At 44.7% G+C, this 25,412-nt stretch overlaps 1 protein-coding gene across 8 annotated transcripts in view, besides 6 other annotated features; it reads right to left on the bottom strand.

Moving 5' to 3' along the window:
* The window catches only part of DAPK1 (death associated protein kinase 1), a 211,407-nt gene extending 194,176 nt beyond the window's left edge, over positions 1-17,231 (bottom strand). For 3 of the 8 annotated variants that reach the window (NM_004938.4, XM_005251757.5, XM_047422888.1), the window contains exons 1-2: positions 16,352-16,592; positions 15,320-15,489 (exon numbers count right to left, since the gene is read on the bottom strand). In NM_004938.4, the coding sequence (NP_004929.2) occupies positions 15,320-15,381 (62 nt within the window). In that variant the 5' untranslated portion in view covers positions 15,382-15,489; positions 16,352-16,592. Of the gene's footprint in view, positions 1-15,319; positions 15,490-15,822; positions 15,878-16,086; positions 16,726-17,156 lie in introns of those variants that run through there. The other 5 variants (NM_001288731.2, XM_047422887.1, XM_047422886.1 and 2 more) reach the window with 5 other exon arrangements.
* Positions 11,808-11,867: an enhancer, noted in NCBI's record as "active region_28520". NCBI's record gives its function as "activates an Ori minimal core promoter by ATAC-STARR-seq in GM12878 lymphoblastoid cells {active_cell/tissue: GM12878}" and the evidence as "EXISTENCE:reporter gene assay evidence [ECO:0000049][PMID:35858748]".
* Positions 15,486-16,243: an enhancer, noted in NCBI's record as "H3K27ac hESC enhancer chr9:90113131-90113888 (GRCh37/hg19 assembly coordinates)". NCBI's record gives its function as "activates a minimal SCP1, AML or CMV promoter by ChIP-STARR-seq in naive H9 embryonic stem cells {active_cell/tissue: H9 hESC(naive)}" and the evidence as "EXISTENCE:reporter gene assay evidence [ECO:0000049][PMID:30033119]".
* Positions 15,634-15,743: a silencer, noted in NCBI's record as "silent region_20003". NCBI's record gives its function as "represses an Ori minimal core promoter by ATAC-STARR-seq in GM12878 lymphoblastoid cells {active_cell/tissue: GM12878}" and the evidence as "EXISTENCE:reporter gene assay evidence [ECO:0000049][PMID:35858748]".
* Positions 15,954-16,143: a silencer, noted in NCBI's record as "silent region_20002". NCBI's record gives its function as "represses an Ori minimal core promoter by ATAC-STARR-seq in GM12878 lymphoblastoid cells {active_cell/tissue: GM12878}" and the evidence as "EXISTENCE:reporter gene assay evidence [ECO:0000049][PMID:35858748]".
* Positions 16,514-16,863: a silencer, noted in NCBI's record as "silent region_20001". NCBI's record gives its function as "represses an Ori minimal core promoter by ATAC-STARR-seq in GM12878 lymphoblastoid cells {active_cell/tissue: GM12878}" and the evidence as "EXISTENCE:reporter gene assay evidence [ECO:0000049][PMID:35858748]".
* Positions 16,884-16,943: a silencer, noted in NCBI's record as "silent region_20000". NCBI's record gives its function as "represses an Ori minimal core promoter by ATAC-STARR-seq in GM12878 lymphoblastoid cells {active_cell/tissue: GM12878}" and the evidence as "EXISTENCE:reporter gene assay evidence [ECO:0000049][PMID:35858748]".

Raw genomic sequence — 25,412 nt, 5'->3', positions numbered from 1 at the left:
GGAGAGGGAAAAGTGATTCAACAGGGCTCTGACACCCACAAGCCTCACCAGCAGGTTCTCCAGGTCATACCCATTGTCTGTCTCAGCCCAGACCTCTGGGACACAGGAAACTACGCACTCCTGGGACAGTCCATACAAATCAAAGTACAACAGCAACTGCCCTAGACCTCACGCTCAGACCATCTGGCAGCCTTTTCTCTCCCCTCACCAGCTCTGGACACCCAAGGTCAATATCTTCTCTCATCTCATTCCACAGGGGTGTTTTCTTTGCCCACTAGGTGCAGGCTCCTCCTTCCCTACACCAGCTCTAGCCTCCTAAGCACATCAGTCAAGACTGATCTCTCTTGATCTTGTAGTCCTGTGGTTCTCTACAGAGGGTGGGGGAATTTTGCGCCCCCTCACACATTTAGCAATGTCTGGAGACATTTTTGGCTGTCATAAAGAGTGTGAGGAGGTGGCTGTTACTGGCATCCAGTGGGTAGAGTCCATGGATGCTGCTAAACATCCTATTATAAATATCCTATCCTAAAATACAATGCACAAGACAGCCCCCACAACAGAAAACTATCCAGAACAGGCTGTCACTAATGCCGAGGTTGAGAACACCTGGTTTAGAGGAAGCAAGGCGAAAAACAGGCATTGAACACATCGTATGAGCCAGCACTGTGCTAGACATTTAAAACTTCTTTAAACTTCCCTTCCAAGACAGTGACAGTAGAACAGGACACAAAATGAGCTGCACCACCCACCACCCAATTTCCAGACATGGCTTAGCAGCTTGGGAGTCCAACTACTGCTTCCAGCATTTTAAAACACTATTCAAGGCCAATCATCTTTCTGAACCTCGGTTTTCAAATGTGAATTACAATACCTACCTCCAGCTGCTGGTCTAGAGTTCCTAGCAAATCTTAGTTTCCTTGTCCCCATTTCTTTCATGTCTTATTTCCAGTTTTCTCCAAGGAAGGCAAGGGTAGAGACATACATACATACCCACACTTGCACCCACCTGCTTACATTTTTACGTCGTCCACAAGAATCTGAATGAAGGAATGAAACCTCCAAGTCAAAACGCTCTCCTTGGCTGAACTCCAAAAAACATTTTTCCATGCTTCATCTCACTTCCTATTTAGGCTTTCCAATACTGTTGGTTGTGCAAAAGTCTGTCTATCCTACATGACTAGAAGCTTGCTGAGATAGAGGGCCCTGCCCAACACTGCAGCAAGATCATTCAGATATTCAATTAGCCCTTGAGGAATGAATAAATGATGGGCAAATATTACGGTTCAAATGACAGTTTCGTTTAACAGCCTATTTATGGTACCTGTTTATAGCTTATTTGTTGTCTATTTGTTAGTTCTCTTGATGTTTTACCTAAATTCACCTTATAGACCCAATTTCCAAGTATTTTCCTTTTCAGATTTTGTCAGTGTTATGTTACTTTTACAAACTAAAGATACCCACCCAACAAGCCCAAAGAACAAGAAATAATTCTTTAAAAGAAAGCAGCCTCTCGGCCAGGCATGGTGGCTCATGTCTGTAATCCCAGCACTTTGGGAGGCTGAGGTGGGTGGATCACCAGCCTCTGAGGTCAGGAGTTCGAGACCAGCCTGGTCAACATGGTGAAACCCTGTGTCTACTAAAAATACAAAAATTAGCTGGGCATGGTGGCACACACCTGTAATCCCAGCTACTTACTCTGAGGCAGGAGAATCTCTTGAACCTGGAAGGCGGAGGTTGCAGTGAGCCGAGATTACACCACTGTACTCCAGCCTGGGCGACAGGGCAAGACTCCGTCTCAAAAAAAAGAAAGCAGCCTCTCACACAGCAGCCATGTTTCTTGAACAAACTGGACCCCACTCCAGGGGAACAGAATGAGTACTTAGACATGTAAGTGGGCATTTACCCGCAGCAGCTGGCAGGGCCTCACCATTCAGTACATCCTAACAATCCAGCCTTTCAGCCACCAACCTAATGGGCTTTTCTTGGCACGGACAGTTCTGGCTTGGCAAAACACTCATTTTCACATCTTAAATTGGTACATGTCACAACTGAATGGAGCTTCAGGATCTGCTGTCTGTCTGACATGCTGCACAAGGCTTCTCTTGGTCAGGGACTCAGGTGTCCACACTCATCTCAGACTCCTTTCTCCATAAAGATCCATGAAAAAAAAAAATCAATTATTTGTATCCCTAATCAAATTCCCAGTGTCTTATTTGGCCACTTAAGATGGCTTTTAAGCCAGGTGTGTTGGCACATGCCTATAGTCCCAGCTATGCAGGAGGCTGAGGTGAGAGGATCACTTGAGCCCAGGAATTTGGGGCTGCAGTGAGCTATGATCACACCACTGTGCCTGGGTAACATAGCAAGACCTTGTCTCTAAAAAAATAAACAAACAAATAAATAAAAGATGGTTTCTCTTGAAAAAGCAAGCTAGAAAAATAAAATCAGGCCGGGCGTGGTGGCTCACACCTGCAATCCCAGCACTTTGGGAGGCCGAGGTGGGTGGATCACCTAAGGTCAGGAGTTTGAGACCAGCCTGGCCAGCATGGTGAAACCCCATCTCTACTAAAAATACAAAAAATTAGCTGGGTGTAGTGGCAGGCTCCTGTAATCCCAGCTACTTGGGAGGTTGAGGCAGGAGAATCGCTTGAAACCAGGAGGCGGAGGTTGCAGTGAGCCGAGATCGCGCCACTGCACTCCAGGCCGGGTGACAGAGTGAGACTCCATCTGGGAGAAAAAAAAACAAACCACAGACACACACACACACACACACACACACACACACACACAAAAGAAAAAGAAAATCTACCTTTCAGGAACTGAAGCACACTGCATTAAAAACACGAATTTATGTGCTCACATAGTCTCAGGTTCCCTGTAACACCAGGATGATATCCCTCAAAGCATTTCCAAGCAGCCTTCTTGCTGAGCAGCTAACTCCTCCTGGCTACAGAGCGGCTTTTAGTTGTCTCTGCTTCCTTAAATGCATCTCTTCCCATCTTAACAGATCCTCCTTAACATGAAGCTTTTCCCTCCCTTTCCCATGGTGTCTTGTGGACTTTGAAAAGGGTATCCCTTGAAGCTCTGCGTTCAGCAGCCAACTTTCAGATGCACAGCTAAATTCCTAGTCAATATGTTTCTTAGGAACCCTAAGCATCATCTAATGAGCACATAATAAGGTGGACTCACCAAGAGAGCTCGGCACATAAACTGAGTCCAGTCGGAAGGAGGCAAGGATACCTAGAAAAATGGAACAGACAAGCAAAGGCAAACTTGGCAGAATGAGCCCACCAGGCAAGCTGAGCCAAAGGAGAGACAGGCAGAGGAGAAGAGAGGGAGGAAGGATGAAACTGAGGAGAAGTGAGCCCTCACCCGCACTCTGCCTGTGGGAGGCCAGGGCAGGAATGAATGAAGAGGTAGGACCCGGGAACACAGATTCAGAAGCATGTTATACTGTCGCTCTCCCTCTCTCTCCCGTTCCTGCTCTGTCTTGTTAAATAGCGTCCACCTCTCAAGCACTTACTGTGTGCCTAGTACTGTGCCAAGCACTTTATACATATCACAGACATCCTCACAACCACCTTATGAATTAGCCGTGATGACTATCCCCATTTTACAGATGAGAAAAACTAAATCTCACAGAAGTCAAGTGACTTTCCCAAAGTAACAGCTAATGTGTTTTGTGGAGACAGGGATTTGGGTCCAAAGCCCTGAAACACTGTTCTAATTTCTGCATATGTACCTTTATAAGGCAACGAAATAAACATGGCTTACCGTGCACTTAGCTGAATTCCAACCAACACCAGAGACAAAAGGCCATGTTCTCTACCCTCAGAAAACTCACAGTCCACAGGGGAAGCCAATAATCCCACGCATAAGTCCCCTGTAATAAGAATGCCAAGTGGCCAGTTATCTACTCCAAATCGTGAAGGAATACAGGAAATCAGAGCAGGAGCCTTCCTGGAGGAGTAGCCTAGGACATGCTCTGGAGAGGTTGCCAGGAGAAACCGGCTGGGCCATTTCGCATGTGTATTTCCTTCTCATTCTCCAGGTTATTATAACTTCTCTCAATGCAGATAAGCATTATCTGCACTAAAGAGAATGTTGCTTCTAAAAGACCTACAAAATGATGGTTCATATTAATGAGTAATATTCTTAAAACAGGATCTACTCATTCAATGCCCAAATCACACTGAACAAAACCAAGGGACTTCCTGCTTCTCCATGGCCACGAGGCTGACATTACCCTGTCTGCTCCATACGTGTCAAGCGTTATCTCTTCCAGCCAACGAAGGGGTGGGGAGGAACGCACAGACTGACAACGTTTCATCCTGTAGATATTCCACTTGTGCTAATTCACTTCCTCTCCCAAACAATTGAAACGGATGCCTGAGGCTGTATGTAATGGAATATACGATGGAGCCTGGGGCACACCCTTATCGATTCTAAATGGGCGAACTGTAAATATATTCTGTTTAGTCCATCTATAGTGACTTAGTCAGAAAAAGGGCAAAAGCGGCCTGGCCGTGAGCTCACTGGTGCCACTGCCTCCATGAATGGCAAAGGAACGGAGCAAGTGAGAAAGAGGCCTCCTCCATGTGCTGTGGTGCAGAAGGAAAAGAAACCGCGATCATCTGACGCCAGAAGAGCTCCCAGGAATGAAATCTGTGAAAGATTCTGGCATCACTCCCAGCAGTTCACACACTGACTGTAGAGACTTTGAATGGCAAAGCCAATATCTAGGAAGACAATTTTCTATATTCCCATCCCAAGTGCACAGAAGAAAACGCTGGCAGGATGGCCGGGCGCGGTGGCTCACGCCTGTAATCCCAGCATTGTGGGGGGCCGAGGCGGGCGGATCACCTAAGGTCAGGAGTTCAAGACCAGCCTGACCAACATGGAGAAACCCCATCTCTACTAAAAATATAAAATTAGCGGGGCGTGGTGGTGCATGCCTGTAATCCCAGCTACTCGGGGGGCTGAGGCAGGAGAATCGCTTGAACCCGGAGGCAGAGGTTGTGGTGAGCTGAGATTGCGCCATTGCACTCCAGCCTGAGCAACAAGAGGAAAACTCCATTTCAAAAAAAAAGAAAAGAAAATGCTGGCAGGCTGTGCTTTCAATTATACTGATTTATAGGCCAATGAAATATTATTTTAAGGTAATAAATAACTTTTTAGCGCTTTTTGCCTTACCAAATTCCTAAGGACAGCTCTTCTGTGTATTATATACCATTCAGCATCTCCAACATGAGCAGCACCCATTAAAAGTCTGTTCTCTACAGGATACGTATACCTGCAGCGCCTGTAGCTTTGTTTTTATAAAGCCAAACAGCTTGTAATTCCTAGTCTATTAAATATTACACTCCAAAGGTTGCAGCCTTTCATCACTTTCCCAGAGACACACATTTCTGCTGCTTACCCATAAACCACAGATGGCCTCAAAAATTGAGCTTTACACAGAGGAGGCAAAACAATTTCGAAAAACTTCTCAAAGGAGGGTGGAAATATCGGAACTGAATCAACACTAAATTCTGACCTCTTCTCTCTGCCTGTCCCATGGTATCCTTCCGCCACTTTTTTTCTTGCATTGCTTTAGGTGTACCTATCCTCTCTGAGGCAGCCCAGTCCTGGATAGACATATGAGGTGCTAGGCAGACAGACAGGCAGCTCAAAGGAAAATCTAATCATTTTCATGAATGGGGAAAAAAAAGAATGGCATTGATGACTTTCTCTACATGTCTTTTTCACCTGGAAAATTCTATACTGTGGGTCAGGTGTCAGGGGTTGTAGTAAGGTCTCAAAAATCCTGACAATCGTGGCCGGGCACGGTGGCTCACGCCTGTAATCCCAGCACTTTGGGAGGCCGAGGTGGGCGGATCACGAGGTCAGGAGATAGAGACCATCCTGGCTAACACGGTGAAACCCTGACTCTACTAAAAATACCAAAAATTAGCCAGGTGTGGTGGCGGGCACCTGTAGTCCCAGCTACTCGGGAGGCTGAGGCAGGAGAATGGCGTGAACCCGGGAGGTGGAGGTTGCAGTGAGCCGAAATCGCGCCACTGCACTCCAGCCTGGGCGACAAAGCAAGACTCCGTTTAAAAAAAAAAAAAAATCCTGACAATCTTTCTAAGGTGAAAAGGAAAAGTTGGACCAGTGCGGCGACTCACACCTGTAATCCCAGTACTTTGGGAGACCGAGGAGGGCAGATCACCTGAGGTCAGGAGTTCCAGATCAGCCTGGCCATCATGGTGAAACCCCGTCTCTACTAAAAACACAAAAATTAGCCGGGCGTCGTGGCGGGTGCCTGTAGTCCCAGCTACTCAGGAGGCTGAGGCAGGAGAATCACTTGACTCAGGAGGCAGAGGTTGCAGCGAGCCAAGAGCATGCCACTGCACTCTAGTCTGGGTGACAGAGCGACACTCCGTCTCCAAAAAAAGGGAAAAGTTTATACAGTTTCAAAAGTAAAAGCAATGAACTAAGACATAACTATTCAACAATGAAAAGTAGTTCATTTTTGTAGGTGAAAATTTATAATATCAACTGCACTTAAAATATTTGCCAGCCAGCCTCATTCATCACATATTTCCTAAATAAGAATAATCAGGCAGTTTTGACAGAAAAATAAAATGTGTCCCAAAAGAAGTCCGTACCTCGAGCCAAATTTCCCAGCCAAAACCCATCAGGCTTATGAATATAAGTGCCATCAATATAAACTTTTCACACTTCAGAGATCGGCAGTTTACAAGCATTCATTTGCTCAAACATTATGTTCTTCGTCCAAAGTTGTATGTGTTTATAAAGGGAAAAAAAAAATCAACAACATTCTCCCAACCTCCTTCCCTCCCCTCCCCACCACTCTGGCATCTCTAATTATATGTTAGGTTACTGAATAAAATTTTTCAAGCTCACAACTGAAACATCGAAAGGTAGTACATAAGGTAAAAGCCCCGTGAACACCAGATGCGGTGGCTCATGCCTGTAATCCCAACACTTTGGGAGGCTGAGGCGAGCAGATCACCTGAGGTCAGGAGTTCAAGACCAGCCAGACTAACATGGAGAAATCCTCTAAAAATACAAAATTAGCCAGGCGTGGTGGTGCATGCCTGTAATCCCAGCTACTTGGGAGGCTGAGGCAGGAGAATCGCTTGAACCCAGGAGGCGGAGGTTGCAGTGAGCCGAGATAGCGCCATTGCATTCCAGCCAGGGCAACAAGAGCGAAATTCCGTCTCAAAAAAAAGGCCCCATGATCACTTCTCAGAAGTAAGCAACATTATACTTCAATGACCACAGTGTGATCCATATGCCACACCAGCTGTCAATGTCACCTAAAGACCAAAGTGACAAACCCGCGTCACTATTGGACCACGCTTGTCAGGTATCTCCAGAGATTAGTTACTATCACATGATTGTTTTGTTTTGTTTTGGATTGGGACAGAAGATAAAACACAACTATTTTAGGTTTTAGATTTTTTATTTGTAAAAACCCACCCAGCACATTAACTCTAGAGCTGGGATACAACTGTACTTACCTAAGAAAGATTTAATAGTTAGAGAAAGTTAGTTTAAATCCATTTTAGTTAGATGATGTGGAAAATCGGAGTGTCAACTTCTTTTTTCTTCCACCTTCTTCTAACTGCACCTTTAAAAAAATTCGTTTATAATAGAATGTACCCAAAGTCATACACTGAATTTATTATAATTGTACTGTCATATAACCTCTTTCAAGGCCGAGAAAGGATGCATTCCATTTGTATAATTTACCCCAACAAACCAGAACAAAACAATTAAATATTATCTTCCACATAAAGTCTCAAACAATCACACACCAACTCTAAGCTAGCCAGACTAGTTGTTGCGTAAGGAAATGAGAAACTGTTGGTCAGTGGCAGGTAGGTGCACGGGTCAGAGACAAGACTCTTAGACATTACATAACTCAAAAGTTAAATAACAATGAAAGTGTTTTTGGAGTTTTCTAAAAAGGTAAACCATTAACTTGGGACTTGAATAAAACTACGCCACATGTTGACATCATTCCAAACTGCAAGGCTGAAGCCATTTGGAAAAGGAAAGAAGGTCCCAGTGTGTCGTTAAGGCCTGCGAAAGTTCTGAGCTCAAAGGGCAGACCCTGTTGCCTTTGGCTGGGCTTCAAATGAAAACCTTCCATGAAGGGTCTACTATTTATCCCTAACCATTTTCTCCATGCAGATGCTGAAATAAATTGGCGCCAAATGGCTGCCTACTTCACCTCTCTTAAATATCAACTTCATCTGGCTTTCAAAGATGGAAAACTGCCAAATCCTAAATAGCACAGATAATGAAATAGGCCTGGCCCTGGGTTCTGGGTCCATGTCTTGCCACCTTTTAATCAGCTGCCTGGAGAAAGCCACTTGACCTGTCTAAACACAGGTGGATAAAATGTGAAGGGAGGCAATGCTGGTCACTCAGCCTTCTTCCAGGTCAAAGTCCCGGCCAGGCACAGCGAGAGGCTGACGCTTATAATCCCAGCACTTTGGGAGGCCGAGACGGGCGGATCACTTGAGGTCAGGAGTTCAAGACCAGCCTAGCCAACATGGCGAAACCCCACCTCTACTAAAAATAAAAAAATTAGCCAGGTATGGTGATGCATGCCTATAATTCCAGCTATTTGGAGGCTGAGACAGAGAATCACTTGAACTGGGGAGGCAGAGGTTGCAGTGAGCCAAGATCGCCCCACTGCACTCTAGCCTGGGCAACAGAGCAAGACTTCGTCTCCAAAAATGCAAAAGGCCAGGCACAGTGATTCATGCCTGTAATCCCAGCACTTCGGGAGGCCGAGGAGGGTGACTCACGAGGTCAGGAGTTCAAGACCAGCCTGGCCAAGATGGTGAAACCCCGTCTCTACTAAAAATACAAAAAATAAGCCAGGCACGGTGGCAGGCGCCTGTAATCCCAGCTACTTGGGAGGCTGAGGCAGGAGAATCACTTGAACCCAGAGGGCGGAGGTTGCAGTGAGCCGAGATCACGCCACTACACTCTAGCCTGGGCAACAGAGTGAGACTCCGTCTCAAAAAAACAAAACAAAATCAAACAAACAAAAAGACACAAACAAACAAAGTCCCTGAGCTCTCTGGGGTACTCTTCCCCAATGGAAACCACTCCCCTCTTGTCAGAAGAGTGGCTTCCTTTGTCTCATAATCAGAAATAAATTTCTACTAAAATAATATTCACTTAATTTATACAAAATGTTAGGTACTCATGGCAGTTGGCTAGAATGAAGGATGAAAGTTCCTAACACATTTCCCTGCTGAGTCAGGCAATGTGACCTTGACCATGCCACTCCCAGATATCAGATATCCAGCAGCTCAGCCCCTCACCCCTAATCATCTGGAAAGAAGTGGTCTGGATTACAACTCTGCTAGGAGGGAAGAGAACAAGGTGGAAGAGCCAATGTTGCCTCTCCTGATATAACACCTGTATACAACTACAGTCAGCCCTCTGGATCTGTGGGTTCTGCATCCATGGATTCAACCAACCTTGTACCAAAAATATTCAGGAAAAAACTGCATCTGTACTGAACATATACAGACTTTTTTTTCTGGTTATTATTCCCTAAACATTATAATGCTACTATTTAGTTAGCATTTACATTGTACTAAGTATTGTAAGTAATCTAGAGATGATTTAAGATATATGGGAAGATTACATCAGTTATATGCAAATACTATGCCATTTTATATAAGGGACTTCAGCATTTGTGGATTCTGGTGTCCCCAGAGGTCCTGGAACTAATCCGCCATGGATACCGAGGGATGAGTGCACTGGAATTTATCTGGACATCCATCTCTGTAGGTTTCTTATGAGTTTTTCATGGCTTTGCAGAGGCATATACCAATGATATGGGGCCTTCAGTTTCCTCATTGGCCGGGGAGACACAAGCTGAGGGTAAAAGAGCATGGGGGACCAAGAAGTGAGCTTCCATGTTCCCTGGCTTCCCGACCAATAAGCACCTCCACCTACTCTGTTCCTGGCCCCCTTGAACCTAAATTTGATGCCTGCCCTAGTAATCCAGCAACACACTCCCAGTGCCAGCAAGCAAGCATTCAACCAAACTGCCACTTACTAACACCATCATGCTTTCCCTTCACATCCTGGAAAATTATTATTAGACCTTCCTAAAATGTACACACTTTTAAAATCACTAACCGTTGCCTTTAATCTATGTAGCTGAACTTTATCTCTCTTAAAACTTTGGACCCTTTCCTATCAGAGGAAACATCTGAGAGCATTCTGAGTCAAAAATGCTAAGAGGAAAAATGTCACATTCAGCACAGTCCTATAAGGATGCAGAAACCCACCGGTGGCCTGCGGTTCCCATTTCTGAAGAAAAAACATGCCAGAAAGTCTCTCCCCTTCTATGAGCCACACAGGGTTGCCATTATTCATAGGACTGACTCCTGCAATCCACAGTAAACCGGTCTAGAGAAGCACTTGGACTGCCAGGGCTTATGACAATTTCTTACTTCAATTAAAATGCCTATGGATTTTATGCCGAAAGGGGAATGTTTTAAACTTGAATTATTAGCTTCCAATGACCATCCAAACCAATGTAAAATATTTAATGCTCCACTTCATTTGTTTTGTTTAAAACTGATCTTGTGCTTGAAAATTTTGGCTGCTGTGCTCATTACTGTTCAGCCACAAAGAATGCAAAAACAAGAGCAGTTTTTATTTTGATGAGCGGCAGCCATTATATCCTAAGTGTTCATCTTCACCACAAGCCATCATTTGTTGAGGCCCTAATACATACATATTCTTTCAAGTTGCTTTACATATATTGATCCACTCAGTCTAGTCTAACAGCATGCATTTACTGAGCGCCTTCTAAGTGCCATGCATCAACCTGGGCATTAGAAATAAAAAGTGAGGAGCAAGTCCAAGGTAATGGCCCCATGGAGAAAGCAGATCATCAAATAAGCAGTTACTATGCAATGTGGTAAATGCTGTGATGGAGAAAACAGGTTATTAAAAATAATAAAAATGATATATTAGAGGCCAGGCACAGTGTCTCTGCCCTATAATCTCAGAGCTTTGGAAGGCCAAGGTGGGAGGACTGCTTGAGCCCAGGAGTTCAAGGTTACAGTGAGCTATGACTGTGCCACTGCACTCCAGCCTGGGAAACAGAGTAAGACCCTGTCTCTAAAATATATATATATATACATATACACACACACATATATATAAAAAACATATACATATATATATATTTTAGACACATCACACTTAGTAGGTGTTCAGTAAATGCATATCTACCTGTAGACTAGAAAGACAGACTGCATGTCAGATGTTTAAAGCCACGTCTGTAATTCTAACAACACTCTACCAGGGTAGGTGTCTCCCCACTTTCCAAATGAGCATTCTCAGGTTTTTCCACACTGCACACTGCCTCTCTAACAGTATCAGCATCAGCATCATCGTTTGCATCTTACATCCCCATTCTGGTCTCAAAATTACACTTGCCAAACTGCATTAGCTCATTGAGGCATGCATTAATCCCAATATTGATCATAGATACCAATTTGCAGGAAGTCTATGAAACCCTGCACACCATGGGGAGAAAGGACCACAACAACTCCAAACCACAGGGCACACCCCAAAGAAACTCACAAGCTGGCTGCAAAGAGTAATACAAGACTAATAAACATGAAACAGGATAAACATGTCACTGGGCAGTCTATGGTCATGGACAAAGAGAGTCTCAGAGAAGTCACTTGACTTTAAAAGGGGAAACTCATTGTGGAAGGATTCATTAAGGAAGTAGGACTTAGGTCTTAAGATCATATAAGGTCAGATGGTGCAATAGGAAAGAAGGCCAGTCCCTCAGGAAAGCAGTGTACACAGAGAGGTGCCCAGGAGGCTCACAGGTTAGGCTGAACGACGGCCAAGGGTGTAACTAGAGCCCGACAATGGGGCAAGTCAGCCTGCAGCTGCCCGAGGTGCCAACTGATAAGAGATGCTAGGGCATCCTGGGGCATTAAAACACCTCGGTATAATAGCAGATTTATAAGAACTCCTCCCAGAGACTATTACACATCATGGAGGCAGTTCTTTGTTCCGCCTCCTGGGACAGAGGGTGAGACCCTAAAGGGCCTCCAGGAGCCAAAACTGAAGGCCACCAAGCACCCTTCTAAAGATAACAAGTGCATCTGCTGCAGGGACTTGCTTCTGCTTGGAGGGTGTGCCAGCTCAAGGCCAGGGCTGCATTATTCAGAATCATAGTGGAGGCTGAATGCTGTCAGCAACCCTTCTCCCCATGACCCTTTTCCTATAAGGCATCCCCTCCCAAAGCTGGTAAACAGAAACTTAAAGAATATTGACTTGCCGGCCAAGTTATTAGCTTGCCTGGGGCACCCAGATGTCTCAGCCAGTCTACAGATAATATCTATATTTGTTTAACTCTCTACTGCTGATCAACTACTTTTACAAGTTAGATTATTTTTACAACAGCAATGAAAAAAGCACTAAACCTCTCATAGAGGAAAATCCTGAGTGTCAGAGTGGGTAAATGGCCTGTTCAAGAAAACTGGCAAGTTGCAGAGCCAGGTTTTGGACCAGGGTATCTGTCCAGTGGCCCATCTGCTCTATTACTGCTGCAGATGGACTGCTGCAATAGTTGCAATACTCTATAAAGTTCCTGACCGTTGACAGAGAGCTTTTACAGAAGTCTTAGGCAGTACACACAAATACGAACATTTTCAATTTTCCTAAAAGTAAAATAACATTAACAATAATACTTGTACTCTACTTCTTCAAAAACCCATCTTTCCTCCTGGCTATGTACTTTGTCTCACTACATTTATAAGGTAAGTGAATCGTTATTATTTAGATGACTGCTAAAGATATATAAGTAAAGTCTTTTTTTTCTTTCTTTTTTTTTTGAGACAGAGTCTCGCTGTATCACCCAGGCTGGAGGGCAGTGGCGCGATCTCCATTCACTGCAACCTCCGCCTCCCAGGTTCAGGCGATTCTCATGCCTCAGCCTCCCAAATAGCTGGGACTACAGGCGCGCGCCACTGCGCCTGGCCAATTAAAGTCTTAAATCTTAGATAATTTTTTTTGTATTTTTAGTAGAGACAGGGTTTCACTATGTTAGCCAGGCTGGTCTTGAACTCCTGACCTCGTGATTTGCCTACCTCAGCCTCCCAAAAGTGCTGGGATTACAGGTGTGAGCCACCTCGCCTGGCCAAGTAAAGTCTTAAATCTTAGATACTGGTCTACTAGTAATTCACTGCTTAGAATGACCTTGCATTTGTGCCACATATCTGCCCATTTCCATTTTCCTGCCACCAAACTCCTGCCTCCACTCCCAATCTTCCCTCAGTGACACGTGATGTCATATAAGCAGCATCTTCCTACATGTCCATTTTACATTAGGACTTGTTTTCAGGAAGTGGCTACATCCAAGGCAGACATAAAATCAGGACTTGAAAAATTTTCCAAAAAACAATCATTCACTCATTTTTTGGCAAAAACAATAGCAGTTATACAAGATAGATGAGTCTGTACATTTCATTTTTAAAAACTTCAGACTTCCAGTTTTTCAGAGCATTTCTTTAAAATTCCTAGGTCACACAAATTATTTAATAAACAATTTGTCAATTTGCCTTGCACAGTGGGGAGAACGTTATACACAAAAATGTACACTGAGCAAATCAAAGTGCTAGTGACAAATAAGTAAGCCACCTCCCTCCCCTCATCATCACGCCCACGAAATAAAGATCAAAAACTCCCTTCGCCAACCACAGGGAGGCCTCTTTTTCTATTTCTTTCTCATAACACATAATGGTACCAAAAAATCATAATGAAAATAAGGTCAATATACTTAATCCATAATATAATAATCTCAACTAATTTTAGTCATCTCTCTTTCTAACAACACTTAAACGATCAGGCCACACTATGCAAATCAAATTAAAATTTATTTTTTTGCTTTTTTCTTCCAGTCCCAAAGGAAAACTCCAAATACCACTCATCTTGCTGAAAACCACAGTAAAGTTATTTAATTCCAGTTAAACCAAATATTTCACCCACACACTCTTAAACTTTAATCTTAAACATATCCATGAAATGTGATGTTTGAAGAGCTTTCCTTATTTACTCACCAGATCATCAATATACAGAGAGCTCTTCCTAAGCACAGGCCCCCATCTATGTTTTCAGTCGATACTAAATATTTAGAGAAATACTCTGTTACAGTAACTTTTAAAAAAATTCTACACTATCATTTGAATTTTTAAAAAAATTTAGTTAAGCTTAGTTTCCATAATTCTCATTAGGCAATCCAGGATGTGGGTGTTTTTTAATTTCCTTTTCATGGAGAAAAAGGAAGCTTTGTATCAGGACATCAGATGTATATGGGAAAATACATATTTCAATGCACATATAAGTAAATACATATTTTGTTTGTTTAAAGATCCTTTTGCCTACTCCACTCACAATGTAAATACACCACAGTCAAATTCCATAAATTCAGTTTTAAATGTATGTATGAAAACTAGGTTTTCTACTAAAGTTGACCAGAGCCCAAAACACTCTGTCTAATACACAGTCAAAGGAAACAGCAATCAGCCCTTAGATGCCCCGAAAGAAACTATTCTTTGTTTACCTAGAAACTGAAAGATTTTACACTGAGAATCACAGCTGCTACAGCAATGGAGGTATGCTCTGAATCCAGATAGCCATATTAGACTCTCATTGATTTGTTAAAAATTTAACATTGTAAATGAAACCAAAGCAACCACCAACACCAACCAGGTAATTAAATTCCTGGTTGGAAGAAGTTTCAAAATCCAAGCCCAATGTCAACATCTGGCAAGTCTCCATTTACCACCTACCAATACTTGCTCAAATTACACTGAAAATTTAGATAGAGGGTAAAGTACTAAGATTTTTAAAACCTATTAATTAGTTTGTACCCTCCGTTTAAATCACACATAAAAGCTAACTCCAATTGCAATTATAATCTTAGTGTTTGTCCTGTTGTCACAGAAGGGCAAGGGCTGACAAGAGTTAGCACGGACAATTAAATCTGATTTTGTCCAGGGGACTGGATCAATATACTGTGCATCATAATCTAGCCCTGAACTGCTGCCTCTCCTCCACCCCCAGGCCCTTGGATCAGGCGGTTTACCGCTGGGTTAGTAACTCTTTTCTCTATGATTTGCGCATCTCCAGAAAGGGCGAGGGAGACGCCTGATTCAAACTGCATTTGTTTACCACCCAATGGCCCCATCGTTATGCATTTCCACAATCCAGGAGGGTACGCTTCTGGTACCCCCTTTACCTGCCAAGTTCCTCGCCGGTGTCGTAGTAATCATCCACGTTTTCCTGCCTGAACACGGTCATGATAAACTGTCACGCCTCACCAAAGCCCAGGGCACTTCAGCTCCGCTTCCCAGACCATCACCACCGCTCCTGCGCCTCCGTAGCCCCCTCATGCATCAGTCTCCAGTCCTTTTGAAGAAAAAAAAAAGGCAATAATAATAGTAAAATGGCAACCCCAAAAGGAAGTAGACCTCCCCGGCGCTAAGACCCCGCTCGCTGAAGACCGGGTCTCCGGAGCTGCCCCTCCTCGCGGGGTGGAGAGGAGCACCCTTTGTTAAAGCTGGGCGGCCAGGGACGCCCCCGACCCCTCAGCCCCGCGCGCGCGTGGGGCCGGGCACCACGGCACCCCGAGGTCGGCGTCCCCAAACGCTGGGCGGTCTGTTGGGATCAGAACCGGCTCCGGAAGTGACTGGCCTCCCCGCCTCCCCTTTCTCTGCACACATGCCCACCCAGCTTTCCCACCTCCAGGGACGCCGCGGAAGAATGAAGCCCTCGCCCAGACGGTACGCGCCTCACTGGGAGCAATCTCTCTCCAGCCTGCGGCAACGGTGGCACCCCCGCGCCACCTCTCGGCTCCCGCGCCTCTCCTAACACCGTGGCCACCCTCTCCCCTTCCCCGAGCGAGGCAGTCCCCAGAGCCACATTCCTGGCGACTCCCTCTCCGTTACCCGGCCGACCCGGCGTGCGGCCGCCCGGGGGAGCAAGGGAGGGAAGGGAGCGGCCCACCGAGGCGCAGCAGTTCGCTCCAGATCCTCGCGCCCCGACACAAAGCGCCTGGTCGGGCCGGCGCCACCTGTTCTCACCCGGCCCGCGGGGCTGGGGAAGCCTCCCGGCTGCGATCGCACTTCTCCCCGAAGCCAAGTTTCCCTCCGCCTTGGCCTTCCCAGTTGCTCGAGGCACTGCCCGGACAAACCCCACCGCGCCCTGGCTGGGAAAGCAAAAGCTGGCGCCGGGGGTCGGGGGGACCGGGGAGCCGCGCCTGGCTACTCACCCGGGCGCCTGGGAGCTCCCCCGGTCCCTCCGGAGCGCTGTCGGAGGCCGACCATAGGCGCCAGCGCCGGAGACTAGCCGGGGCGGCGGCGGGAACACAGCTAGGGAGTGAGTGGGGGGCGCAGATCCCTCCCAGGCGCCGGCCCCAGACCCTGCCGCTGCGAGTTGCCGAGTCCCCTCCGCGGAGGGAACAAAGTCCCCGGCGTTGGCTCGGTCCGGCTGTCCTCCTCACACTCCGAAGCAGCCTCTCGGCTCCTTGCCGCCTTTTGGGCGGAGGGCGGCCGGCAGGCGGCCAATGGGGACCCTGCAAGCGGGCTGGCGGCGCGGCCCACCCACCTCCGAGCTGCCCTGCCAGGCCGGCGCTGCGGGTTCTGCGCGGCGCTCGCTGCTCCTCCCAGCTCCGCGCTCCGGGCTCGCTGGCGCGCTCTACCGCGCACACCCCGCACACACCCACTCGCCCCACACCCACGCCGGCCGGGGAGCCAGTGCGTCCGCCCGGAACGCGGGCGCCCCACCTGTGACACATTGCTAAGCTGCCCTCTGACTGGGTTCTAGGGAAACACGGTTCTTCCGTCCCGAGATGTGTACTGGGATCCCAGCTTGTGCCGGGCACGGTGCTTGGTATGGGAAAATCACATAGAACAAAACAGATTTTTTTAAATCCCTGCCTTCCGGAAACCTGCATTCTGGTGGGACAGATAGATAATAAATATGTAAGCTAATTAATAAGGTAATTTTGGAGGATCAGTCCTACGTTTACCACGAAACAGGTTAATGGAATAGAGAATGGCAGGAAGGGAGCGTACCTCATTAGACTGGGTTCCTCTGCCGGACTGGTGTTGGAGCCGAGGCTTGAAGGCAAGAAGGTTTGCAATCTGAAGAAAGGGTTGAGGTCTCCGAGACCCAAAGAAGCAACAGAGACGCAGAGTTTATTTGCGCTATCCCATATGCTATTGGCTATTGTTGAGCTGAAATGTAGCTAGTCCCAAATTAATTGTGCTGTAAGTGTAAAATACACATTAGAGTCCAAGACAGTATGGATATGAGAATGAAAAATATCTCATGAATATTTTTATATTCATTACACTTTCAAATGATAGTATTTTGGATACGTTGGGTTAAACAAAATATATTATTAAAATTAATTTCACCTGTTTACTTTCTTTTTTTTGAGACGGAGTCTCACTCTGTCGCCAGGCTGGAGTGTAGTGGAGCGTGGCAACCTCCACCTCCAGGGTTCAAGTGATTCTCCTGCCTCGGCCTCCCCAGTAGCTAGGACTACAGTCGCGCGTCACCATGCCCAGCTAATTTTTGTATTTTTAGTAGAGACGGGGTTTCACCGTGTCGACCAGGATGGTCTCCATCTCTTGACCTCGTGATCCGCCCGCCTGGGCCTCCCAAAGTGCTGGGATTACAGGCGTGAGCCACCGCGCCCGGCCTCACCTGTTTACTTTTTAAAAGGTGGCCACTAGAAAATATAACAGTACCTATGTTGCTTGCATGAGATTTCTGAGGACTGTGCTGGTCTACACAAAGATCCCATATCCACTGGAGACCTCTATCCACTTTCTCTACTTCCCACCCCTTGCTCCCACCTAATGTTTGGGTGGAGACGAAGAAGGGTTGATTCCCCACATCCCACTGCTGGAGAACCCCAAACGGTGAAAAGCTCCTAAAGGGAAATCTATTTTACTGCCTAGAATGATGAAAACTGACAGATGAAGAGATTTCCGATCCATACCGTTGTTCAAATCCCCAGGCTTTCTAAACTGAGTTGGTTCAAATCTCTGTGGTTCAACAGAAATTTTCAACTGTGAAGATTTTGGCCTCTTGAAAACAAGGCAAAACAAAACAAAAGAATACCCCTCAGGCCTTATGTCAAATCCTAGTCTTTTTTTTTTTTTTGAGACGGGTTTTCGCTCTTGTGGCCCAGACTGGAGTGCAGTTGTGAAATCTTGGCTCACTGCAAACTCCGCCTCCGCCTCCCGGGTTCAAGCGATTCTCCTGCCTCAGGCTACCCAGTAGCTGGGATTACAGGCATGTGACTATGCCCGGCTAATTTTGTATTTTTAGTAGAGACGTGGTTTCACCATGTTGGTCAGGCTGGTCTTGAACTCCTGACCTCAGGTGATCCTCCCGGCTCGGCCTCCCACAGTGCTGGGATTACAGGCGTGAGCCACTGCGCCCAGCCAAATCCTAGTCTTAAATAACATTGCATTAATGACCCACAGGAAGGGCACACAGGAATCAAGGGGAAGTCCCCAAATTGGGAGATGGTATTAGCTTAAGCAGTGGGCTTGATAATACAAAAGGGTCTTGAGAGGTGAGAAATACAGTCAAAAATAACAACAACAACAAAAAAAGAGTGATTCATCTGGGAAAATGCAAATGAATACATCTGTTGGGAGAAAAAATTTAAAACACAGATGTTTGGGATAAACTTGGAAGGTGTTTATGGATGACTGCCATATGGGTAATATTTATTTTCTGCAAAATAAAAAATATATTGTCCGAGGCAATTAAAAGGACTGAATCTATTTGGCAGCTAGAATGTCTTAACTACCCTAATGGACAATGATGTTCACCGGAGATTATCTGGAGTAGTGAAAAAGAGCATGAAATTTGGAGTCACAAAATTAGATCTAGTATTGGTGGAACCATTTAACAGCTTAATAACCTTGGATGAGTCACTAACCCCCGAGCTTTTTGTGTACACCAATTTAGACAAGCATTTTAGAAAGGGGAAATGTGGTCATTTAAAAACATATTCACAAATTCTTTGACACTCCCCCAATCAAGAGGTGGAGTCTAATTCCCCTCTCAATAAATATTCACCAACCCTATCTGCTTGCTTCTAAGAAAAGGTAGTGGCAGTGGCACAGTGTAATTTATTTCCAAGGTTAGGTCATAAGGCATTAGAGCTTCTGCCTGCTTGCTTCTCTTTCTCTCTCTCTCTCTCTCTCTCTCTTTCCCTCCCTCCCTCTCCCCCTCCACCCACTCTAAAGCCTTCAGCTGTCATGATTACCCTAGGGCTGCCATGTAGAGACATGTGACAAAACCACAGAAAGAACGAGAGATGCCCAGAGAAGCCAGCTGTCCAGCCCCACCCTCACTCCCAGTTGTTTATATCTTCCAGTTCAAGTTCTGTGAGCAAAATCAATGACTTTTAATGTTTTAAGTCATTATTTCAGAGTGGTTTGTTATGTAGCAATAGATTATCTTCTTAAAAAGAAAAATTAAGAAAACTTTTCTCTTAACACATACCAGGTTCCAGACAGATGAAATAATTCTCTCAATTAATCTTTAAATAAATTAGCGGGGTTTTTATTTAATAAATAAATAAATAAATAAGTGGTTATTTCCACTTTACATGTAAACGTCTCAGTTTCATCACCTGTGAAATGAAGATGATTATAGACCCTTACATATTCCTTGGGTTTGTTGGGAGAATCTAAAGAGATAATGCATGAAACAGGACTTTGTACATTATAAAATACACCAGAATGTTGGATATTTTATTTTCTATCATGTCCCTAGCAAAAAGGACTCAGAGAGGCATCTCACACATAGAAGGCAACAATATAAGAAGCCACAAATTATGAGATGCCAGTTGAGAAGGACTTCTATAAAAATAATTATGATATGGACTATGGATTATAATAATGATGGCGATAATATTTTAAACAAACCCGACTGTAGATTTTAGAACATTATTTTACAGTCGTATTAGGGTAAAATAACCATTGCTATAAGACCCAACAAATCCCAGAGGTTTAACACATTAAAAATGTGTTACTTGCTCTCAGCACAAAGGTTTGCAGGGCATAAGCAGAGATCAGCTCCACAGTAGTCATTCAGAAACCCAGGTTTCTGCCATCTAATGAATCCATGCTCCTCCAGCGTAAGTTCCTCAGTTTATCCTTTCCATCTTTTGGCTGATGAGAGAAGAGATAATACAGGGAGGATTGCACTGAAGGTTTATGTAGGAGGTCAGATTTGAAGTCTGAGACAATCATTTTCTGGCAAGATGTTCTCAGCTCAAAGTGGACCATATTATCTCATTTCCACCTTTTGGTTGCTTTTTTGTAACATGGCTTTGGTTTTATCAAGGGCTAATATTTTTAAGAATGTTTCCCACTTTGGGAGGCCGAGGCGGGCAGATCACGAGGTCAGGAGATCAAGAGCATCCTAGCTAACACGGTGAAACCCCATTTCTACTAAAAATACAAAAAATTAGCCAGGTGTGGTGGCAGGTGCCTGTAGTCCCAGCTACTTGGGAGGCTGAGGCAGGAGAATGGGGTGAACCCGGGAGGCGGAGCTTGCAGTGAGCCGAGATGGTGCCACTGCACTCCAGCCTGGGTGACAGAGCAAGACTCCGTCTCAAAAAAAAAAAAAAAAAAAAAAAAAAGAATGTTTCTGCATTGTGGTTTCACCATTAAAGATTCTGTCCGTTACGCAGTTGAGAGCCTCTGATAGAGGCAGTCACATGACTGATTCCAGTTCCTCCCAGCACTGAGTGCTAAAAGTATTCATTTCTTCTCACCAAATCATATTTTCTTTTACCAGACAAAAGTACAGAGCTCATTCTGTTTCTCATTTTGCCTTGGATTCGCCAGAAAGCATGCGGCAAGCTCAGAAAGCACAAACCTCCATCTAATGCCCAATTTACCATCTTCTCTGATCCCGTCCATAAGCATTTCTTGAGTATCTAGTGTCCACCAAATGTTAGGGATACAGATATAAGAGAAACATTCTCTGTCCTCAGGTAACTCAGTCTGATGAGGGAGACGGATCAACAAATAGACCTGCGATTGTGCTAAATATAATCCATTTGTCACTCTACATCTAATCTACTCTCTGAGCCGTAAGATTATTTTAATGCATTCCTTGTCCTCTGGTTGCTGGTAGGTTTAGCCAATGGGGCACCTGACATGAGATGAAGGAGAAGGAAGGAGAGTGAAGCCAAGATAGTCATTCCTCTGCTCTCCTCCCTGCAAGATTGCCACAGTCCACAGCCAAACACAGGTTGCTGCTCCTCACCAGGTCCCGTCTTTTACCGGGTTTTCTCTTTCTGGGTTTTGGTAACCACTCTCTCTCCTTTGTCTTTTTGAGCCTAGGGTTGGTGCCAGCTCTGCTATTACTACCTTGGGTTCCTGCTCCATCCCTTATGGTCCCCCTGCACCTCTCCCACACCTCCCTGAATTGTCCTAATTTGAGCATTCCATCTCTGCCCTCTGGACCCCTGAGTGACAGCATAACGAGAAAGGAGCCTCAGAAGACGAAGAAAACAAGCAGGGAGAGTGCTTAATTCAGATAAGGGCCAGTGGAGGGTGAGGGTGGAGGGAAGGCTGGGATTTCAGGGAAGTTTCCTAGAGAAGCTGACATCTCATGAAAAATTTGAAAAGAGAATAAGAGTAAGCAGGATAAAATGGTGGACAATTGCGGTGGTGGGTTATTGGACAGTGGGGGTTGGAAAGGAGGGCATCTAGGCAGAGGAAAACAGCAAGGGTACAATCCTGGATATGAGAAAGACTATGACTCATTCAGGCATCTGTAGGTAATCACGACCAAGGCAAGGTAATGGCAAGAGGCAAGAGTGGAGAGGAGAAGAGTCTCTTCCATCATGCCCAGAACTCAGATGAGATGGAGGGGTGAACCAAGGTAGAGCTTGAAGGTCCTTGTCCATCATGCTCAGCATGTGGCTGTATCACTCTAAAGATAGTTAATTAATACTAATTTAGCACAGATGGTGGGTATAGAAAACTAATGAGATACTTTAAGGAAGTAGAAATCACAGGACCTGAGACCTTGGTACCTGAGGAAAAGGACACAGTCCGGGTGACACCCCAAGTTTTGGTTGAGTGATTAGGTACATCTTGCTGCCATGTAGGCTGAAATACAGGTAGTTTGGGGAGAGAAGATGAGGTCAGTCTTAGGATTACGAAGATTGAGTTACCCATGGGGCATCTAGATTATGTCCAGGAGATGTCTGGGAGATGGGTGATGGGTACCTGAGGGATGGGGAGAAAGTGAACCTGGTGTATATTCCAGGGGCACTGCAGGCATAGAAGGGGATGAGACCACCTAAGGACAGGGTGTGCAGGATTGAAAAAGAAGAGTACTAGTGGCAGAACCTTGGAACAGTAGCATATGAGCCCAGGCAAATACAGAGGGGCAAGAATGCCTGGCCAGTAGCTGGAGCTTGCCAGTTGATCTGATGAGCAGCTAAGGGGTTTTGTTTTGTTCGTTTGTTTCTTGGGCAGAGAACAGGTGGAGCCAGAATGGGCATCATCAACGGGTGGTGAATTAAGACTTCCTGCATATGGAGTGCCTCATTATGCTTCTGGCATACAGTATGTATCGCATCATGAAGATTTGCTGTCTTCTTGGTCTGGTAGGTCCCTAACTTCCTTATCTATGCTTAACACATCCTATGATTTTCCTTCATCCCATTTTTCTTCTTTTTCAGAGCAGAAATGAATATTCACAAACAAAATAGCAAATGCACATTACTCACTTCCTGCTGAGCTGTGAGTGATTTGCAGTATCTCTCAGATACCTTCTCCCAAGATTTCTCCAGTCTCTCAGCCCTTTTGTAGTGCAAGGTTTTAAAGATGAGGGGCTTCACATTACCTGCCTGGCCATCTGAACTAGGAGTTTTTGATCCCAGGTTTAAGCCGCCATCGCCTGTGTTTTTGCCTGTCCTCCCTAGTCCTACTTTCTCTCTGGCTCAGGTTATTTTCCCCCAATTTTCATATATTGAGCCCTGTGGTATTGAATGCATTAAATTCTTTGTAAAAACAGGCAGTGTGCAAATAAGCACTTACAAGTCACTGACCAGTGATCTGGCATTACAGGTTTACTTTTGCCTTTAGCCTAATTTCTTTTATGCCTGGACCAATTTCATTTAGGTTCTGTCACTACCTGAAGCAAAAGATTGGTAACACTAAACAGCATTTGCAAAACTCAAGGCTCAGAATGTCAATCAGGTTCCTAACTGAATTGTCATGGAGGTGCCTCATGGTAGTGTATGTGTCACTCATTTTGCTAGCATGTGCAAATTTAGCTTTTGTATAACATGTACACTTTTCTTCCTACAGGACTCATTGACTATTGAGATTTTATGCAGCTGGCTACCAGATTCTACATTCCTTGTAAGAATATTTGAATATATTAGTTGGCCCCAAAATAATGGCAAAAACCACAATCACTTTCACACCAACCTAATAATTAAAAAGGAGAATAAGACATTCAAAAGAGTTTCTTTCTGTTTTGTCAAATAAACATCAAGCAAGACAGAAAAATGTCACCCAGAAAGAAGCGGTCAGCATTATTCATCCATTAGAAATGGATGTACCAATCATAATTACAGATAAAATCTGAACTTATATCCACATTGATTTATTTTCTAGTGCTTCTAATTTTTTTCTCTTCTGATGACTAATGAACCTCTTTCAGACCATCCAACTTAACACCATTGATTTCTATTTATTTTCCTTTCAGCAAAAATTGTGGTAAAAATATTTTTAGTCAGTATCAAAATTCATCTTTTTGGGTTGGATAGGTATTAAATATTACAGAAGATTCAATATCAGTGAAAGCCTCTAGGTTTCCTGGCATGGTTTCATGAAATAAAAGTCCCATTACTCAAGCCAGTAAAGTGATTTACAGCCTTATTCATAGCACTTTGGTAGGATTTATAGAAACATTGCTTTTAAAAAAAGACAAACTTGCCATAAATTTTTCCAAAAGGTTCTGTCAGTTTGAAGATTTGCAAAGACAACAATAATCTTTGATCCATTCAATGCTGTATTCACATACCAAGAGCTCTAAATGTACACACCTATAAAATTGGTGCCTTCTGTTTATATAGACTTAATATGTCCAAATATACTCTTTTTTGACAACCATATCAAAATATGGGTGCAATTTAATGTGTTGATTAAGCATTTTCTACTATTTTCTCTCTCTCTTTTTTTTTTAAAAAAAATGTTTTTGACAATGTCTCTCACTCTGTCACCCAAGCTGGAGTGCAGTGACATGATCACCGCCCACTGTAGCCTCAACCTCCCAGGCTCAAGCAATCCTTTCTCCTCAGCCTCTCAAGTAGCTGGGACTATAGCTATGTACCACCATGCCTGGCTAATTTTTTATTTTCTGTAGAAATGAGGTCTCTCTGTGTTACCCAGGATGGTCTTAAACCAAGCGATCATCCTGCTTTGGTCTCCCAAAGTGTTGGGATTACAGGCATGAGCCACCACACCAGGCCTCACTTAATTATTTATTGAGTAACAAGGATGGCAGTGAAAAAGACACAGGGAAAAGACTGGGCGTGGTGGTTCACGCCTGTAATCCCAGCACTTTGAGAGGCCAAGGCGGGTGGATCATGAGGTCAGGAGATCGAGACCATCCTGGCTAACAGGATGAAACCCCGACTCTACTAAAAATACAAAAAAAAAATTAGCAGAGCGTGGTGGTGGGCCCCTGTAGTCCCAGCTACTCAGGAGGCTGAGGCAGGAGAATGGCGTGAACCCGGGAGGCGGAGCTTGCAGTGAGCCGAGATCACGCCACTGCACTCCAGCCTGGGCAACAGAGTGAGACTCCACCTCAAAAAAAAAAAAAAAAAAACAAGAAAAAGACCCAGGGATTTATGATGTAGAAGCACTGCGGTCACATGTTGTATTTCTTTAGACTCCTCTTAAAAAAGGATCTACTTGGGTTTTTTTTTTAATTTCCTGCTTACATTTCTTAGAATAAAGTCAGGAAGTGGAACTGCCTAACTACAACCAATCCCCTAATCCAGGGGGGCAAAGAAAGGCAAAACAGTTGAAAATGCATTGCCCATCTCTTCTGCCCACCTTCACTCCACCCCCTCCTTTTAGTCTACCTCACCCTCTTAAGCTTTAAAAAACACCCCTACAATCCTATCCAAGCTTTTGCACGTGTGATTAATTTTTCAAGTATTAACAGATTATTTCATCTATTACAAAGTTATAACTTAAATACATCTTTTTAAAAAGTTATATCTTAAATACATCTTTTAAAAATGTTTCTTGACTTTG

The sequence above is a fragment of the Homo sapiens genome, chromosome 9, assembly GCF_000001405.40.
Source record: "Homo sapiens chromosome 9, GRCh38.p14 Primary Assembly".
NCBI classification, from domain to species: Eukaryota; Metazoa; Chordata; class Mammalia; order Primates; family Hominidae; genus Homo; species Homo sapiens.
The sequence above is the reverse complement of the archived record's forward strand: the minus strand, read 5'-3'. Positions and strand labels throughout refer to the sequence as shown.